This window comes from Homo sapiens, chromosome 5, assembly GCF_000001405.40.
Source record: "Homo sapiens chromosome 5, GRCh38.p14 Primary Assembly".
Lineage (NCBI taxonomy): Eukaryota > Metazoa > Chordata > Mammalia > Primates > Hominidae > Homo > Homo sapiens.
The window spans coordinates 135,045,986-135,065,625 of NC_000005.10; the positions used below are offsets into that span (position 1 = coordinate 135,045,986).

The window sequence follows — 19,640 nt, forward strand, 5'->3', positions numbered from 1 at the left end:
CCCTGGTTGCTGTCTGTTGTCCCCTCTAGCCCCTTCTGATGCAATAGACAACCCCGAGGAGCTCCAGAGCTCCCTGGGCCACAGTTTGCAAACTGTAGGAGCCCCTTTAGAGGCTTTCCAGCCCAGCCTCCAAGGGTCCTGGACCCTGGGGATAGCCAAGGCAGCCTCCCTCTTTATCCCTCAGGGACCTGTTTCTTGTTCCTTTTAAATATCCTGTTAGCCATTTGTGATTGAAGTCAGCAAGCATCTATTGAATACCTACTGGATGCATGCAGAGGGGCTAACACTTTCTGAGCACCAGCTGTGTGCTAGGTCTGAAGTGGGCTCATTTTATCAGGCTATTTCCCCATCACAACTGGCTGTCAGCTCATTTTACACATGAGGAACTCAAATTGGTTGAGGCTCAGTGACATGGCTAAAGCCCCAAATAATAGTAATAATAACACCAGCTCGCATGGATTAGGCCCCCAGGTGTGTGTCAGGTCTTCGCAAACATCTTCCTGTACATTAGCTCCTTTTGTTCTCAAAGCGAATCTGTAGAGCAGGGACTGTTTCCATCTTCAAGGATCAAAGAAGTCAAGTTGCAGGGAGGTGAAAGCGCTGCCTGGTGTCTGGGTTGTGTCTGGGGCTGCTCCCTCTCTCCTGCCCTTTGCCAGAGAGTCTGAGGCAGCTGCAGCCATGGCCTCCAGGATAATGGGCTCCCCTCTGTGTTCCTACTGTGTATGCAGGGAAACTGAGGCCCAGAGACTCACTCTCCCTAGAATATGTCTGCTCTCTGGGGCTCCATCTGGCACCGACCTCCGTCTTTCTTCATCCTGGCACTGACTATGAAATGAGAACCTGGCATCTCCCCAGAGACCTTGCCTTACTGGGGACTGTCTGTCTGTCTAGCAGCATTAATCAGGGCACATTGACCTCAACTGGTTGGGCAGAACCATCCTGGTGAGTCCAGGACACAGGGTGGGGTCAGCCCCTCCCATGGAGGCTGGAGCTGGGGGTGCACCTGTCTCCCCCTCCCTTGCCTCCTGTTGGATTCTAGCTCACCCTCAGCCCTCCATCTCAAGCCTTGAGTCTTCAAAGGCCCCCCCACCCCCCCTCCAAAACTCCTCAAATGCCTGCACTTAGGTGTGACTGTCTGAGTGACACCGTCTGGATGCTATTCTTGCCCCAGGGGGAATGCATGGTATTGAGGAACAATGGTGGCATTTCAGGCAGGGTGAAGGGACGCTGAACTTTTGGTGGATAGAGAGACTCCTACTTTGGTATACCTGCAGTGGAGCCTTGGGGCCACAGAGGATGGGGGCTCCCCCTGGGCCTTGGAGGGGAAACTTGTCTGTGCACAGAGCCCAGATCTTTGCCGCGTAGACAAACACAAAGTGAGGGGACGAGTCTTGACAAATGTTTGCCAAGTCCCCGGCTGGCTTGGGAGTCAGGAGTGAGCTTGTTTGGCAGAACAAAGGGGAAAGCAGCCTCCAAGGGGCCATAAATAGCAAGGAAAAGGGAGTGGCCTGGGCCTGAAGGCTCCATGAGACCTTGTCTCCAGGCTTGTGTCCTCTGCCAAAGCTGCCATCATCCTCTCCCACATGCTTTGGGCCAGCTGGCCAGAGCTTGGACCATGTTGGTGGCAACCTTCTTGCCCCACAAGCTCCATCTCCCTGGGAGTCCCTGGGTGCTGGGTCACCTGAGGTGCCTGGCAGGCTAGGAGGTTGGTGTGACCTGCACATCCCAAGGTCCCTCTTCCTGTAGGAACCAGGAAGTTTGGCTAAAGCCAACAGTGGTAAAGTTTCCTAAGAGGCAGAGCTGGTCTAGCCCTGGGACCTGGGAGCTTGTGACACCTGGATATACTCAGGCTGGGAGGGGCCCAATACTCCCATCCCCAGAACTGGGGGGCTCAAAGGAACCTTGTTCTTTCTGCCCATATTCCAGACAAATATGGCCACCTACTTTTTTAAAGCAAGAGGGCAGGACAGGAGGCGGAGGGTGGCAAGACCAGACACTTTGCCTATTTGGGCCTCAGTTTGTTCACTGTAATATGGGATCCTCACCCTTGGCCAGCCAGCTCTGATCCCCCACCTTCTCACCGCCTGTAACTGTGAGCATCAGGTGAGGTACTGCATCAGAGAAGGCTTCCTGGAGGAGGTACATTTGCACTGGGGCTCGAGACCCTGGCAAGACTTCCTTCAGAGCAGGTGGGAGGGTGTTTAGGAGAATGCACAGATAGGCAAGCATGTGGAGCTGGGGAAGGTGGGCAGTGTTTGGGGACCTGCAAGTTCAGTTGAGTTCAGGGTGGCAGAGCCCAGAGTGATCATGGGGGTGTGATGAGGTGCCTTTCCCACTCCCTGGGGACCATCTCAGGCAAGGATGTCTAAGCTGGGAAATGGCCTGAGCAGGGCTCTGCTGTAGGAAGGTAGGGAGGGAGCAAGAGGCGGCTGAGCTGGTCTGGATGAGAGGCCAGTGGAGGACTATAAAGGGCCCCTGCCTTTTTCCTTTGAGCTGGGAAGGAGGTCTCCTGGCAGGGGGTGGGAAGGCCAAATTCCTGAGTTCACTCTGATGATCTGGCCTACTTAGCAAGGCTGGGCCTCCTTTTTTTCTGAGTGGAGGCGGCCCAGACCCCCAGGCTCTGGCCCCTGGACCCCCAGCTGGGATGTGGCCTGAGCTCTCCATGCCTCAGTCTGTGTCTCCATGCTTCCCTCTGGCTCTCCATGCCCTGTGTCCAGTATTCTTCAAGGCGCCCCCTCCATGGGCCCTCAGGAAGAGGAGGGCTGACCAGGAGACTTGGTAGAGAAAGTCCGAGTGCTTTCCCCATCCTGGGCTCTGTCACAGGCCCACCCAGAATTACTGTGGAACTATCACCAGATGTCCAGGCTTCCCTGGCTGTGTACCTTGCTTTAGAGGTGAGCTTGGGGCCTCAGTGCCTAAGACAGGAAGGACTCACCCCCAGGTCAGGTACTTTCTTTCATTCCAGCAGCCTTGTGGGGTTCCCACCTGGCCAAGGGTCCATCTGGGCCTCTAGCATGGCAATGGGGAAACCCTCTTTAGCCACCCACACCCTAGCCTACAAGCAGGGGAAGAGGGGCTGCCAGTGTGTGTGGGAACTGCTTTATGGGAAGGCTGGTGACTGGCCCTCCCTCCTGGAGGACAGAGGAATGCAGGCTGGGGCCTTTGTGGAGCTTGTTGCTGGGTTCTGGGTCCATACGTCTGAGTTCCCTGCTTCCTGCTCACACTTCTGTTTTGCCTTCCACTCTCTGGTGGGCCTGGGATGGGTGGAGAGTGGAAAGAGAGAAGAAAAGGTCCCCACTTCCCCAGCCACCTTCATTTAGGTATGGACCTTTTCACCAGTGTGTGTCTGAGGCTAGATCTCTTGAGTTCATTCTCTGTTCTCCATTTTGATTTGATATTTTTTTTGCTTTATGCTATGTACTTAAGAAAAGGTCATCTCAAAGCCTTTTGGGAGGAAGTGGGTCTAAATATGTAAACATAATTAAATCATAAACACAAACCACTTAAAAAAAGACATTTTGGAGAAATGTGAATAGTTTAAAAATGGGGCAGATGCTCGGCTTCCTGACAGGTACCTGAGTTTTTATAGCAGTTTTATTTGTGATGGCCCAAAGCTGGAAACAACTAAAATGTCCTACAATAGATGAATGGTTAAACAAACTGGTACGTCCATACTATGGAACACTACCCAGAAATAAAATGGAATGAACAGTTGATTCCTTTTGGCCAAGTCTCAAGGGCATTATGTTGAGTGAAAAAAAGCCAATCTCAAAAGGGCACATACTGTCCGACTTCATTTATGTAACACCCTCAAAATGATGGACATTTCAATGTGGAAAACAGATTGGGCCAGGAGCTGGGACGGGTGGGAAGAGAGGGGGTGAGTGTGTCTGTCAGGAGAGCAGTGGGGAGATCTTGGTGTTGATGGGGTGATTCAGTGTCTGGATTTCGGTGGTGATCTCATGAGTTTACATATGTGATAAAATGACATGGAACTATATGCACACTTTATACCGATCAATTTCCTGGTTTGGCTATTGTGCTAATAAGATGTAGCCACTAGGAAAAACTGGGTGAATCTATATTATTTCAGGTAAGGAAATATGGGGCAACTCCCGTGAATTTATATTATTTCAAAATAAAACGTTTAAAAATGTAAATAATTAGGCAGTTTGAGGTTCTGCTTGTGGGGCGACGGGCATGCCCTCATGGCACACCAGGAGCTGTCTCGGGACCTGGGAAGGGCAGGAGGGCGAGGGGCTAGGGCGATGGAAGGGGGAGATCAAGAGTGGCGCGGCAGGGGGAGAGCGCCCTGAGCCTCGCTGGAGCCCATCCCGGCATGGCTGCTGGGACCGACAGGCCGATCGCGGGCCGCGAGCACATCTCACAGAGCCTGGGCACAGAGGGCCCGAACTGTGCCCAGCGAGGAGGACGCGTGTGGGTTTTGCCTGCAAGGGTTCTGACCACTTGGGGACAGCGAGGGCGCGTAGAGGCGCGGAGCTCACTACGCGCCGCCTCACTCTTCCGCGCGAGGTGCCGGGTGGCCCAGCAGCAGGTGCTCGCGCGCAGGTCCAGAGCGGCGCGTTGCAGAGCCCGCTGTGCCACCGGAGAACCGTGGAGCAGCCAGGGCCGCACTCGGGCGTCTGTCCCCAGCCTCATGGTTGCCAGCAGAGCTGGCGCAGGGGCGCGCAGGCGGTGAGAGCAATGATCCAGCCACCTGGGGCAGCTGTGATTTACCCCAACCTTGGAGTCCACACGGCTGATACCTCAGGCAAAACATTCCCGCCCGCTCTCTGGCCTCCTCGCCAGCCACCCTGGAACGCTCCCCTCTGCTGTGATCCAAACGCAGTTTCCCCAAAGCGATCTACATTGATGTGGCTGCCTTGTCCCACAACTTTACCAATCCCAGACTCCAGATCAACACCTTCAACATGAGACTGAGCTTGCCCAGCCTACATTCAAGGTTCTTGGTAATTGGATGCCGGTCCACCATTTGTGTGCACCCTCTGCTGCCCTTTCCCAGACATCTCTGCCTCCTCTCCATGGGACTCACCAAGGACCCAGTATCAGCCTAACTAACTGCAGGGAATGGCTTTCTCCTCCTCTTCCTTCTCTTCCTTTTGGCAAACTCCTATTCACCTGTTCAGGCCCTGCCCAGATACCTCTCTTCTGAGAAGCCTTCTCCGGCCTCCCTCCCTGACCGTGATTATATCTACTCTCCTGTTCTCTTGCCATGATCCTGGAGTTTTGTATTTAGCATGTCCTGCCTTTGTAGGCTTATTTTTGGTCACAGGCTTTTTGGGAGTCAGGACTATGACTTTCTCCATCTCTGAAGCACTCTCCTTTCCCCCAAGCACAATGACATGTTAGGAGCCCAGTATGGTTTGTCACATATGTAGGGCAGGGGTTAGGGCCACCGTCATTCAGATGAGGCTGGTATGAAGGTTTCAGGCTTCCAGGGCCCAGCCAGTTTGTGAAAACAAGTGGTGAGTTCTGGCCTCTTGGCTACTTTGTCGAGTCATCCAATGTAATGCTCCTATTGGCTGAGTTCCTTCTGTGTGTCCCATCGTGCAAGGTTAGGTACTGTTGCATGGGCCATTTTACAGATGAGAAAACCTAAGGCCCAGAGGGAGTTACTGCCTCAGGCAGCAAGGGGAAGAATTGGGATTCAGACTTAGGTTGGCTGATGCAAGAGCTTCCTGCCCTGGTGCTTTCAGCCTTTTCACAATCCTGGCAAGTTCAGGGGAGTGGGGATGGCAGAGTCCTAGCTCCAACCTGGCTGTGACCCCAAACCCTGCTTGGGGAGGGAGCCCTGAAACGCTCTTTCCAACTTCAGTGGGCTGTGGGACAAGGGCTCCAGAGTGTACCGATGAGGGCTGCTAAGTGGTCTCAGGAGAACCTCAGTCCCAGCCCCAGCCCTGGTTTTGTTTCCATGTGGCTTTGGCTCAGTCAGGGCTTCCAGGAGGGCTTGGATCTGCAGATTTATTGCCGTGCTCAGGAATTTCTTGTCCACCTCAGATATGGGTGTCTGGGGGATGGCCGCCTGGACTGGGAGTAAAACTGGGGTTATCTTGATCTCCAGATGAGGTTGTATCTGCTTGTGGAGTTGCTGGGGAAGGCTCTTTGCCTTCGATCTTGCTCATGCTCTCCTTCCGGCCCCTGATAAAGAGTCCCAAACACAGGGCCGTAAAGGTGGTCATAAAAATGGAGAAGAAATGCTGGCGCAGCTGGCTTATCAAAGCGTATCGCGACGCCCGCCAGGTCTCCCTACTTCAAGTTTATTTCTCCTCCTCTGCTTTCTCTCAGAAGGTGTCTCGTAAACAGCTAAGAGGGTCATTTATAAATGTCTTCTGCCTTCATTCTCAGCACAGGCACTGCTGCCTTGCTGTCTTCCTGCTTCCAGGTATGTGGATGATAAAGAGATGGTCCAGGCATGGAGCATGGTGACCTTTTTCTCCCGTCTTCCAGGTGCCAGCTGAGATGAGACGTGGAAGCTGGAGGGGTCCGGCATCCCAGAGAGGCGTGAGGCTCCCAAACGTGAGTGACAACGACCCTGGTCTTGCCGGCATCCTCCCATCATATTGGTGGGGGGTGGGGGGTGGGCTGACCTCTGAGGGGACACCTTGCCATGGGCTGGCCTCTGTAGTTAACCCACATCACAGAATCAATCCTATGGCATCAGAGCTGAACAGACTTTAGAGATTGCCTTGTGCAAGTCTCTCATTATTCTAGTGATGCCCAGGGGTGGTGGGGGACACTTTCCTGAAGTGGAACCAGAGGCAGAACTCGAATCTCTTGCCTCCTGACTGGGTGCAAGAAGCACAGCCTTATAACCATAACAGCAATAATCCCTCCTGCGTGTTTCAGGATGTGGAAGGCTTTGATGGTTCCCATTTTGTCTGATCTTTGCAGTGACTCCTTGGGCAAAACATGTGATTCCCATTTTACAGATAAGAGGAGCTGATGCTCATAGGTGCTGGGTGCCTGGGGCCAGCTTGCCTGGAGCCTCTCTTGACAGCTGTGTTCACTCTTTGGCCCTTCCATTCTTGACAGAGTTTTTTTGTGGAGTTTCTTCTCATTCATTTTCAAGAGCAGCTCATGGGACGTAATCTAAACACAGCTTTTGACTCCCTAGTCCTCCTACCCTAACCTCCTGAACTATCAAACCCACAGCTTCATGGTCATGAGACGAAGCAAAGTGGGGTATTTCCCTGGGTCTTGGTCCCACGTCCTGGGGGTCGTTTGGGATCCTAGCAGGTGAGAGGCTCGTGACTGGGTTTGGCAAAGCTCCCCAAATGGTGAGAAGCACTGGGGACTCAGAGTCCTGGGCGAGAGGGCCCCAGATTTTGAAGATGGGTGGGTGGGGTGGTCAGAATGGGTGTGGGGTGGGGGTCCCTGGCTGTGGGAGCATGAGCCTTGCCTGAGTCCCTGTCTCTCTGGCAGCACCCAGTGCTTGGCATGCAGCAGGCACTCAGGAAATGCAAATTGTACAAATTAGCTCAGCCTCGGTGGCCATGGTAACTGCACCTGCCTTGACCACAGAGTGGCTTCCCCTTTTTTTTTTATAGCGCTTTTTGTTAAAAGGTATCTATGTATTACACCATATCTATTTAGAACCTCCCCCCTTGCCCCACCAGAGTCAGGTAAGATTGTTTTCACATTGGCTGCTCTTCAGCCCAGCAGGACTTGGTTTTGCTCTGGGCACATCCATCTCTTGCACGAGGTGGGAACTCATTCTGCATTTCTGCACTTCCAGAGCTGATTCCTTCATGCAGGCCGATTTTGCTTGTGAATAGGCCTCCAAAAATAAGTTCTCTGTGATTTAGAAGACTAGGTTCTCCCTGCATTCAGGAGCAAACAGAGGCTTCACGTGGTCTGGTGACTTCACTGGGGTTGCGCAGAGAGCTGGTGGCAGATCCAAGGTTATGATCCTGGCCTCAGTGTCTCTTTTTGCCCCTTGTTTCTTATTCTTTCCCAGAATAACTTGCTGAGTGGTTAGGGGATGTGCAGGCTGCTGTGGTGGTGACCCCTGTGAGGCCAGGTGGGGGAAGCCCTTGTGTCTGCCTGGTGCCTGTAATATATTTGAATTATCTCCGCAGATGAGCCCTGATTTAGCAAACAGTCTCGAGTAAACCTAGCTTGAAGACAAATACAATTGACACTGGGCTTGAGTGGTTCAAAGGTTATTGGCACAAAGCTGTCGGCTTTGTTTAGCCAAGGGGCTGTATTTATGATGGGTGATACGCAGTGCCATCCATAACTTGCCGGCAAGAGGGGCTGACGTCGGACCAGAGACAGCTTATTTACACTGAGCCTGGAGTTTAGTTTCTCTGCTGGGACATGCAAAGGCAATTCGATTCTTGGCCAAGTTGCTTTATGGGTTGATGGCTTAGGTCTGTTGTCATAATTTGGGTCATCAGTTAACCTTGCTGGGGAGGGATAGCACCCCTCAAGGGGATCATTTCCTGGGTGTGTGTACAGCAGGGTGAACCGGGGGAAAGGTGGAGATGTAGGAGAGGTCTTTGGGGCTATTCAAAGGATGTGATCAATGGGTTTCACATTGACCCCTAATTTAAGCCTCACATACACTGGAGTAGCAGCACGTCTGAGTCCCTGGGGCCTGGGACTTGATTCCTCCCTGTATCTCTTGGATGCTTTGGCTAGTTTAGGGGAAAGGAACCATGGGGCAGACTTGCACTGAAGAGATTCATGTGGTTGCAGTGCTAGACAGGCAGGCTTTATAGACACTGGATTCCTTGGGAGAGAAATTATCCCAGGAATGAGCAGACTGTGGCTGTAAGGAGCCACGGCCAGTGCAGGCAGAGGTGTGTGAGGTTGCTATCAAAAGCTAGCCTGTGGTTTGGCTTTTTGGGGAGCAGCAGGCAATCTGTATCAGGGCCTTACAATATGCTTCTCTTGGTGACCCATTTATTCCATTGGCTAAAATCTATCCTGAGGAAATCGTCATAGATGGGGACAAAGATTCATGCACCTGGATGTTCACTGCAGTGTTATTTATAATAGCAAAACAAGGAACAGGTTAAATGTTCAACAGTAGGAAATTTTTATTACATTAATTATGGCATCTCAATAAAATGGAATACTATAAATTGACTCAATTAATGTATATAAAGAATGTTTTATGATTTGCAAAAATGATGCTAAGTAGGAGAAAGAAATATTTTATAAATTGTCTGTAAAGTATGTTTTCTGTTGTATAAAACACAGCAGAATGTAAGTGAGTTAGCTCAGATGGTGGGGTTCTGATTGTTTAATTCCCTGACCTCTTCATGGAATATATTTTCAGTTTCTACTATATTACTTTTCAGCCTCAGGAAATATTATTGAATAAATAAACAAGAATCAAAGTTTACACTTCTTTGGTGGTCCCTACCCTTCTCCAGACCTCAGTTTCCCTGGGCCTAAGAGGAGATGCTGGGCCACTCTTGTTCTGCCCTGGCTTGAGTCCTGGGCTAGGAGGAATGATCCTCTGAGCCAGTGCTGGCAATGTGCCTGTGATCACCATGTCCTGGGTCTAATGGGCCACCTAATTTTAGTGCATGCTGGGGCAGCTGCCTAAGTGTGGCCCCAGCTGCCAGGCAGACGGTCAGGGCAGTGTTGGCAGCATCGGCAACCTCTCTGCCAGGCTGGTGAGGTCAGAGCACAGCTTGGGACCCGGCTGGGTAAGTCACAGAGCCGTGGAGGAATTCTCCAGTGTACATGACACAGAACATCACAGCCTGCATTTGGAAAGAAATCCACTAGCCTGGATCCTTGGATTGAGCAGACGGGAAGGGGGTGCCTTTGGGGAGTGAGGGAGAGGAAAGGCCTGCATGCTTTAAGTGCTCAGTGTTATTTTCCTGGAATTCCAGAAGTCACTGTGCTCTCAGGGTTCCCAATTTATGGCTTGAACTTGTCTCTGAGCCCAATTCCATTTGTCAACTGGGGACTTGCATGGAGACATGAACGTTTCCCTGAAAGGTCTTGGCTGAGGGCATCTTCTGATAGTGGGCAGCTGTGGGCACTGTGTCCTTCGCCAGAATAGCTGGAGTGTAAGGTCTTCAGGGGTGTGAGCTTGAGAACATCTCTACCAGGAAGATGGTTGAAGGGCAAATGGAGGGCAGGGCTCGGTTGGTGAGGGAAGATGGGGATGCTCTGGCCTCCTCCCTGGTCTCCTGCCTTCAGCTTTGTGTCACTTGCTTTGCAAGTCAAGCCACCTTTCTAAACCCAGCTCTTATTTGTCACCCTCACCCTCACCCCCGTCTTGGCTCTGCAGAGGCCATTAATAAAGCCAAGACCCCTGACTGTGGTGTTCAAGATCTTTGCCTAACTTGACCTCAACCTATTTTCCTGCTTTTTTGCTCACATACTCCCTACCTTAGCTAAACCATAGCCTGTGCCTTCTCTATTCTTGAACACACCATACATTCTCATTTCCCTTAGGCTGAAATTTTCTTCTGTGACTCTACCTCAGTTTAGTCACTGTTTATTTATGGAACACCTACTATGGGACTGGGCAAGACTCACCAGACAAACTCCTATTCAACCCTCAAGACCCAAATGTCTTTTGGTCTGACATGCCCTCATCAGCATGACCTCCTAGGTCATCCCATCTCTACTGATGATGATGTTTTATATCTCGTATTCTTGGAGTGTTTTGTCTGCTTTTCCCACTGGGCCTTGGTAACTTTCCTCTGGGCTCCTGGCGCAAGGCATAATTTTCTCTAAATAGCTGTTGGGTGTCGTCATACGGAGAAGAGTCATTAGTGAATGCCGACAAAGCAAGTGAAAGGATCTATTCCCTGGAGTTGTAAGGACATGGGATAATGATAGTAAATAGTGTCAGTTTACACTTACCAAGCACGTACCATGTGCCAGGCACTGTACCAGGTGCTTTCCATGCATTAACACATCTAGTCCTCCTCGACCCAAGAGATCGGTGTGGTTACCCCCTCATGTTACAGACAAGGAAACTGAGGCACAGGCAAGTTAAGACACTTGTTCAGGCTTATGTAGCCAGTAAGCAGATGAGCTGGGATTTGAACCTATGCAGCCAGGCTCTCAAACTTGCACAATATTTCTTCTTTCCTACTAGGCACAGCAGAGATATTTGGCCCCTGGGAAGTGAAGGACACCCCCGTACCTGGTGGGTCCTGGCGCCGATGGTTGTTGGCAACCTTGCACAGGTGCATGGTGTAGGGGTGGTCGGGGATGTCCTCAGGGGGTCAGGGCTTTCCTGGAGCTATCCTAGTGATGTACTCAGGCATATTTTTACATCTCCTTCCCTTACCCCCACTGCCTGCCATGCAGGGGTTGGCAGTCCCCTCTCCTTTGCCTCTCCATTTGCCTCTGCATTTATTGTACTTGCAGTTATGATGCACTTACTGCCCAGGCACTGGGGATGTAGTGGTCCCTGCCTCAGTGGAGCATGGTCTCGTCAGCTGGCATGGCTTTCACATTATTTTAATCCTACATTGCAGGTCTGGCACAGATCCCAGGTGGTGCCCACCCCTGCTTGCATTTATCTCAAGCTCTGGGGTGGCCTGGGGCATTTCTGAGGACCCCATGCCTTCCCCCACTTTCTATCTGTCCAGGGCTCTGTTGTGCAGCGTCTGGAGGACATCTTTAATGCTATGAACATCTTTAAGCTGGGGGCAGTGATTCTTTAATGAGCTGACTGAGTAGTTGAGAGCACTTCAGGAGGAGAGGGGCCTGTCTGTTTCTGAGACCCATCATGGACCATATCTGTGCTTAGTTTTCAGTGTCTGCTTCCCTACTGGGGCCAGAGTGGAGATGCCTTAAGATGAAGGAGATGAGGATGACCATGAGTTCAGTATTTGTTTGCTGGGGCTGCCATAACAAAGTACTAAAAACTGGGTGCTTAAAACAACAGAAATGTATTCTCTCACTTCCTGGAGGCTAAAAGTCCAAAATCAGGGCTGGCTCTTTTCTGGGGGCTCTGCGGGGGCATCGTTCCATCCCCCTCTCCTGGCTTCTGGTGATGGCCGGCAACCCTTGGCTTTCCTTGGCTTGTGGACGCGTCACGCCAGTCTGTGCCTCCATCATGTGGCATCCTTCTTGTGTCTTTGTCCAAATTTCCCTTTTCTCATAAGGACACCGGTCATATTGGATTAAGGGCTCACTTTACCCCAGGATGACCTCATCTTAACAAATTATATCTGGAATGACCCTATTTTCAAATAAGTTCACATTCTGAGGTTCAGACTTCAACATGTCTTTTTGGGGACACAGTTCAACCCGTGACAGACTCCCTGAGAGAAATGCCTGGGCGCTGCTTTGTGGGATTGCTGGACTTGTGGCTCAGTTGTCCTCTTTCTCTTGAGGGAAGCCCAGGAAAGCAAGCGTGGATGTCCGGCCCACCCAGGCTTCAGCGGAAGGGTTTCCCGGCCTGGCCTCACAGCTCTGGGAGGGCCTTGGGAGAGACATGGATGATCAAAGATGGCTGAGGGGGCCGGGGAGCAGCTGAGTCTCTGAGTGCTTCTTCTGCCTCTCCTCTTAGAAATGCAAATGGCATCTGTGCAGGAATCCTTTTAAGGGATGAAAGCAGTTTTTAAAAAGACATTAATCTCCTCACTCACTTCCTTCTGATGGTTGGAGATGAGTGACAAGCCTCGTAATTGAAGATGGTGGGGCTGATAATTCGACAGTAGCCTCGGGAGGGATGTCTTGGGCTGTGAATCACTGCACTACACAGACCTGATTGTCTCCCTGATGGTACCTCCCAGGCCCTCACAGCCTCTTGCTGGCGTACGAAGATGCACACACATGTGAAGGCTTGAGTTGCCTGGTTGTTAGGGTGCAGGATGCAGCTTCCTGGCCCAGGGAATTTTTTTTGGGGAGCAGCTGCTGCAGTGAGCAGGCACCTTTGTGCATGGGCACCTGCTAGGTGCGGCGGTGAGAGTGTATGTGCATAGTAGGTGTTTGATGTCTGTTGAATGGGAGCATGCAAGGCTCAGGGTAGGGCCTCAGATGCTTAGACAAGCTACATGTGGCCTCCCCGACACCCCAGGGCTCTTCTTGTCCTCCCTCACAGTAGTCTTCCTAGCACTCTCAGAAGGACCAGCCTCTCTCAGCTCATGGGGACCCACTGCCCAGGATGCTGCTGGTGAGTGTTGGTTCCTGGGGGATACTTGACCTTTCTGTTGCAAACGCTTACACCCACGCTTGTGCAAGTACACTCAGATCCCCTGCTCTCGGCCGAACCTGGGGGTTGTGTGAGGATGCAGGCAGCAGTGAGTGCAGAGGAAGCCAAGGAGGGACTTATGGACCTCAGGGAGCCCCTGATGGGCCCATCATTGGCCCTGATGACTGAGGTCGGGTCGATGTTGCTAGCACCTTGGATAGGTCCAGCCCTAAGCTGGGCTGGGTCTGAGCAGAGTGGAGATGAGTGAGAAGCCTTTCTACTCCACGTTTTCCCACAGCATTTCCAATAGAGCGTGTTGAGGGGGTCCCAGAAAGTGCAGCTCTCAGATGGGCTGTGTCCTAGAGACAGTGTGCTGAGAGGCTGGGGAAGTGATTTGGGGCTGTACTCTGCGTGTGTGTGTGTGTGTGTGTGTGTGTGTGTAAGGGGTATTCACTAATTCATTTACTCATTCATTCATTCATGTATTCATTCTAAGGTGCCAGTCACCATGTTTAATTCTGGGGTTTCAAGGTGGGGACAAAACTGACATGGTCCCACCCTGTGGGAGCTCACAGCCTATAGAGGGAGACAGACATCAATCCAGCAATCGCACCAATAGACACAAAAGTACTGATACTGCATGGGGACAGCACTCTCTGCTGAGTTTTGCCACAGGTTTGTGACTTCCCCCTTCATGCCAGGGTATTCACACGTTTCACTTATCTGGAGACCCCTTTGCTGAAGTGAACACTTGTCTGTACACAGCAGAACAGCTAGCTGGGTGTTTCTGACCCCCATTCACTTGCCCTTTAAACCGCCTCCCAAAGTCCCCAGTGGCCCCAAGGTTCTGGGAGTACAGTTTGGACATCATGGCATTGGGGGGATAGCAAAAAAGCCTTGCAGCTTTCAGAACAGCAGCAGCAGGGCAGTGAGAAGTTGACATTGCTGTTGCAGGATGATGCACCCAGCAGAGTGTTCTGAGAGGGGCTGTGGCAGTAAAGGAAGGCTGTGTCATCCAAACAGAGGGATGAGTGGGTCTGGGACCAGTCTGGGGCCCGAGTGGGAGACTGAGCAGCTAATGGGAGCAGGCTCTGCTATGGAGAGTGGGCCTGCCCAGGGGCCCCTGTGGAAGAGGTGGGGGCCAGGGCTACCTGTGAGCTTGTGCCGGTCTCAGCATGGACTCTTGGCCCATATTTAGAAAGCAGGCTGTGTCAGTCACAGAGCTGAGCTCCTTAAGCAACGTCCAAGGGCAGGCCCTTCCATGAAGAAGCCTGGGAAAGGGGAGGGCAGGGTGGCTGAAGTCTCTGGGGCAGTGTTAGTTTTCTATTACCGCTGAAGCACATTACCACATACTAAGGGACTTTAAGTCAACATGCATTTATTATCTTACAATTCTGTAAGTCAAAAGCTGGACATGGTCTCCCTGGGTTAAGATCAAGGCCTCGGTCAGGCTGTGTTCCATCTGGAGACTCTAGGGAAGAATCTGTTTTCTTGACCTTTCTAGCTTCTAGAGGCTGCTTGCATTCCCTGGCTCGTGACCTCCTCCTCCATCTTCAAAGCCAGCCACACTGCATTTCTTGGACACCCCCTTCCATCGTTGCTTCTCCCTCTGACCAGAGCTGGGGAATACTCTCCACTTTTAGGGACCCATGTGATTACACTGGGCCCTCCCAGGTAATGCATGATAATTTCCCCATCTCAAGACCCCCAAACTTAATCACATCTGCAAAGACCCCTTTTGCCATGTAAGGTACATCATTGCAGGTTCTGGGGATTGGGTCGTGGGCATCTTTGCTTGGGGTGGGTGGGAAGCCTTCTGCCCTGGAATCTTGGCAGCCAGGGACAAAGAAGCTTGTGACTCTTATTTGACTTTGAAGGTAGGCAGTCCCCCAAGACTCAAACCTACAGAAACCATGCCCCCTAGCTAGAACTGGGTGTGGAGGACCCTTCTCCATGGGTCATTTCTGGTGGGGACCCCTTGACTGTGAGGCCTGCCCCTCCTCTACCTGTCCCAGCCCTGGGGCAGGGCTCCTTCTCAGGCTTTCTCAGCAGCATGCCTCAGCTCAGGACTGCACTCCTGGTGGGGGAGGGAGCTGCGATGACGTGGGGCACACCGAGTATCCCCGTGGGAGACCGTGGCTTCTGGGGACCCAGACAGGGGACCCCTTCTTTCTTTTCTTTTTCCTTTTATTTTCCTCTTCTCTTCTCTTTCTACAGAGTCTTGCTCTGTCACCCAGGCTGGAGTGCAGTGGCGTGATCTCAACTCACTGCAACCACTGCCTCTGGGGTTCAAGTGATTCTCCTACCTCTGCCTCCTGAGTAGCTGGGATTATAGGCACCTGCCACCATACCTGGCTAACTTTTTGTATTTTTGGTAGAGACGGAGTTTCACCATGTTGGCCAGGCTGGTCTCGAACTCCTGACCTCAAGTGATCCACCCACCTCAGGCTCCCAAAGTGTTGGGATTACAGGCGTGAGCCACCACACCTGGCCGGGACCCATTTCTGAGTGAGGAGCTGGGGCTGAGCAAATGGGAAGCACAGGTACCCCAGGGTGCGTTTCCTCCCTGTGCCACCCCCAGATGCTGGCAGGCTCCCTCTGACCTCTGTGTACCTTCTTCTCCAGGAAGGCCCCTCAGGGTGGGTGCTGACCTTCTGTAGGAGCCCTCACTTGGGGGTCTGGGATGTTGACCCATGACATGGCTATGGGGTTGCAGAGTCTCCTCCAATGCAGAGGACAGTCTGGGGGAGCACCCTGGACTGAGTGGCCTTCCCCGCAGTGCCATGGAAGCCACACTGGAGCCTGAATTGAAGGAAACACCAGTACTACCGATCCTGTCTTTATTTAACATTTTGGTATTTTATTCATCATAGATTTTTGCATTAATTTTGATTTTTAGAAATACTGTGTGGAAATATTGTTTATCTTGATTCCTGAGTTTTTTGGCTCCCTTAGCTTTTGTGTTTCACTTGCTCACCCTAGTCCTGGTCCTGCCTCCCAGGACAGAGCAGGGAATCTCTATACCCCAGAGCTGACTCTGGCCTCTGGTCCTCTCTCCAGAGGAAGAAGGCGAGAGTGAGCTGGGTGTTCAGGAGAGGACGGGCTGGTGACATGGCCGTCTTGGTTTTTCATGGGATCTGCTGCAGTGACCTGGCATGCATGAGCATGGGCTGGGTTGAGTAGGCCCCGGGGGCAGGGGCTTTTCCTGCATCTTCCAGCCCAGCTCCAGGTGAATCCTCTCACCCTTTGTGGGGTCGGAGGCCCTGCCTTGGAGCATCTGGCTGCCCGGGACTAAAGACACCTCCCTGCTGGGGTAGGGAGAGGCCAAGGGGCATGGCTGTGGAGTCTGAGGATAGGAGAGGAGGCTATCTGAGCTGGGGACCCCGGCAGCCAGCCCCAGCAGCTGCATGTGTATCCGGGTGGCCGGGGGCCGTGTCGTGCTGGGTGTCTGACTGCAAGCCGTGTTGGCAGGGCCTGGGCTCCTGGACCTGATGCTCAGCACGCTGTCAGCACTCAGCAAATAATAAATAATAATATCTCCAGCATGTTTGGGAGCTTGAGGAGGGAGGGAACACAGAAAACATGTGTTCTGTCTCATGGTGGGTGCCGGGAAGCTGAAGTCTGCTCTGTGCCTCTCTTTGCCTGGAATTTGGGGGGAGGCACACCCCCTCCTCCTAGCTGCAGCTTGGGACACAGGGAGGGCAAGCCAGGAGCCGGCGCTTGTGCTGGGAATGCGGGGCTTGGAGAGGGTTGCCTGGGGAGGTGCCCTTGAGCTGTCCTTTAGAAAGAGCCTGGACTGTCCTCAGATGTCCTCTGGGATTTGGATAGTTGGCCTTGGACTGAGATCCTGGCTCTGCTCCTTCAGACAAGTCACTTGGCCTCTCTGAGCTCCTCAGTTTTCTCACTTACGAAAATGGGAGGTTACAGCAGCTGTTAGAGTGTGTGCAAATGGTTGGCACTGCTGGCGGCGTCGCTTGGGCATCCGTGTCGCTGGTTCTTCATGTGAGGCCTGAGCTTGATCCCATGGAAAAAGACCATGAGGAGCAGGACTGTGTAGGTGGCTGACACTAGCACCAGGTCTGGTAGGCGGGGTCAAGGGCAGCGGGTGTGTGGTTCTGCACATCCTTGGTCTGCTACAAGTTGCTCCAATGCAGCTGACACCCATTACTGTTGTTGATTGACTGCGGGACCCAGGAGCTTTCAGAGGGCAGGGGATGGAGGTTGAGTGCTTGATGTCAAAGCCCTCTGGGGACTTGATGGCTCAGTGGGAGTCTCCTGGGTGACTCTTGCACCTGGGGGCTCAGCACCACATCTTGGGCTGCAGCTCCCAGGCTGGGGACCAGATGGGAATGCTGTTGGGCTGACACAGCAAAGGCTTGGGAAGTGCCCCAGCACAGCCCTCATGACCCCATCTCTCCCTAGCCTGCTTCCTCAAGATGTCAGGGAGGGACTGGAGTAGTAGTAGCACAGGTGCCACTTTCTATCCAGTGAGGCTGAGTTTTCCCCACCTGCTCAGCCATGAAGAGCCCCAGGCAGCTCCTAGAGGGCACCTTACCGTGCCCCTGAATCTGGCTCTGTGGCTGCTCTCTGGGTGAGCGATACCCGGGGAGCAGATGTGCAGAGGTCCTTGAGAGGTGGCCCCTCTTGAGTGCAGAGGCCGTGGGGCTTGTGCAGCCTCCCTGTGAGAGGACTGTCTCCCACAGCCCCCTTTCCAGGGCCCTGTAGCTCCCCTTCTCTCCACTCCTGGGTCTCCAAGTGGGCGTTGCCCCTACTTACCGAGAGCCTCCTGCCTCCTGCCCTGAGGGGCCAGCTCCTCCCGGGTGGGCCAGCGAGGCCTAGATGGTCCCCTTTGCCTGGCTCAGGGAGGTGCCACAGGGGATGGGCCACTTGTCAAATGCTGTTGTTTAATTTTCTTCACGCAGACTCTGCTTGTTCTAACACCCTGCAATGACTCGGCTGTTAACCGAGCACCAGGGACTATAATTATCAGGGGTTGAGAGACAAGAATCTCCTGGTGGTGCAGCAGCTGCAGGCAGGAGCTGCAGCTTGATCTGCCCCCGGAGAGGAGCTGCTCCAGCCTGACTCGTGTCTGAGGAGCCGCTGGGGTTCACACCCTTCACCCCCACATTTGTCTGCAGCTCCACAGGGATTGTGCACTCCTAGGGTCGTGTTCAACCGCTGTTGGTGGGGCAGACATGGGATGTGATTCATATAGAGTGTGGCTGGCATTGTTCCTGAGCATCTGGGAAGGACAGGCCCCTCTTGTAGTTTTGCAGATGTGCAGAGGCTTCCGCTGTGAAGGGAAGGGCAGCCCTGACTGCATGGGTGCCCAGGAGGGGGGTTGCAGGGTGCCCACAGCCCGTGAGGGTGCTTTGCTCAGCACAGGTGCAGACTCTTGCATTGAGTCAGGAATCATTTCCCTGGAGTCTAGTAGGACAGACCAGACTCAACAGCCAGGATTTTGGCTACGAAGTTGGGGTCAACTGGTCACATGCTGTGAGTGCTTAAGAAACACCAGTGAAGGCCACCTCCAGATGTATGAACAGACATTCAGTGTCTTGGTTGGTCTAGGGGACTGGGTGCTCTCCTGGGGCTGGTCCCCATTATAAGAGGCACAGGCAGCCTGGTGCTGTGAGGATTGGGCACCTCGTCATGTTGGGGTGGGGGGCAGGGCGGGTGTGCTCTCAGAGCTGGGGATGGTCTGGGAGGGGTTGCTTACCTGGGTTCAGGTATGGGAAGGACATGTGTGAAGAGGTGGGAGCAGCTGGGCTCAGCTTTGGGGAGGAAGGTTTGGGCTCAGCTGCTGACTGTTGGATGACCCAGAATGGAGAGGGTTGGGTTGTTGGGAACTGACCCCTCGTCATTGGGGATTTTAGCAGGCAGAGGTAGGGTAGCTGCTGTTGACATGTGGAGAGATGATTCCTACCTGAGGAGGGGCTCGGGCAAGATCTCTTACCCTGACTGAAGAGTCTCTAGCTCCGAGGCTAGCCCTGGCTCTGCCACTGACTGGCATCTGCCCTCTGCGTAGGTCTCTCCCCTCTCTGTGTCTCTGTGTTCCTGCCTGGGGCAGGATCTAAGGGCCTGATTCCTCCTGGATTTTTCTTGTGGATCATATGAGGGGACATGGGGAGCGGGGTGCAGATGGGGGCTCTGGGAGCCTTCTGTACCTATAGGATGCAGCCATAGGATGCAGGCACACTGAGCCAGGGTGCTGCAGAGGTGTGGAGGTCGGCATTTATGGATGGAGCACTTTCTCCTAGGACTTCTGGTTCTCCAGTGAGGCCCTGAGGGCATAGGAATGTGACCATCCCATGCATGTCTGTGCTCGTGGGGCTGGTGTTGGGACCTGGGAATATGGGAGCCATCTGAGGTTGCAGGGCTGGGGGAGGTGAGGCCCTCACTGGAGTCTCCTGGCTCAGCTCCCTTGAGCACTGGCATTGGCTGAACACACAGTAGGCCTTTCCTCGGTCAGCACATTCAGTGGGGTCTGCCAGAA

At 53.0% G+C, this 19,640-nt stretch overlaps 1 long non-coding RNA gene across 1 annotated transcript in view, besides 3 other annotated features; it reads left to right on the top strand.

The window, feature by feature from the left end:
- PITX1-AS1 (PITX1 antisense RNA 1) overlaps nt 1-19,640 on the top strand; it is a 311,407-nt gene that overhangs the window by 12,712 nt on the left and 279,055 nt on the right. The window contains exon 2 of the long non-coding RNA NR_161235.1: nt 6,469-6,537. This is a non-coding gene — a long non-coding RNA (PITX1 antisense RNA 1). The remainder of the gene's footprint in view (nt 1-6,468; nt 6,538-19,640) is intronic.
- Nucleotides 2,714-3,314: an enhancer, noted in NCBI's record as "H3K4me1 hESC enhancer chr5:134384389-134384989 (GRCh37/hg19 assembly coordinates)". NCBI's record gives its function as "activates a minimal SCP1, AML or CMV promoter by ChIP-STARR-seq in naive H9 embryonic stem cells {active_cell/tissue: H9 hESC(naive)}" and the evidence as "EXISTENCE:reporter gene assay evidence [ECO:0000049][PMID:30033119]".
- Nucleotides 4,494-5,078: an enhancer, noted in NCBI's record as "H3K4me1 hESC enhancer chr5:134386169-134386753 (GRCh37/hg19 assembly coordinates)". NCBI's record gives its function as "activates a minimal SCP1, AML or CMV promoter by ChIP-STARR-seq in naive H9 embryonic stem cells {active_cell/tissue: H9 hESC(naive)}" and the evidence as "EXISTENCE:reporter gene assay evidence [ECO:0000049][PMID:30033119]".
- Nucleotides 7,526-7,585: an enhancer, noted in NCBI's record as "active region_23167". NCBI's record gives its function as "activates an Ori minimal core promoter by ATAC-STARR-seq in GM12878 lymphoblastoid cells {active_cell/tissue: GM12878}" and the evidence as "EXISTENCE:reporter gene assay evidence [ECO:0000049][PMID:35858748]".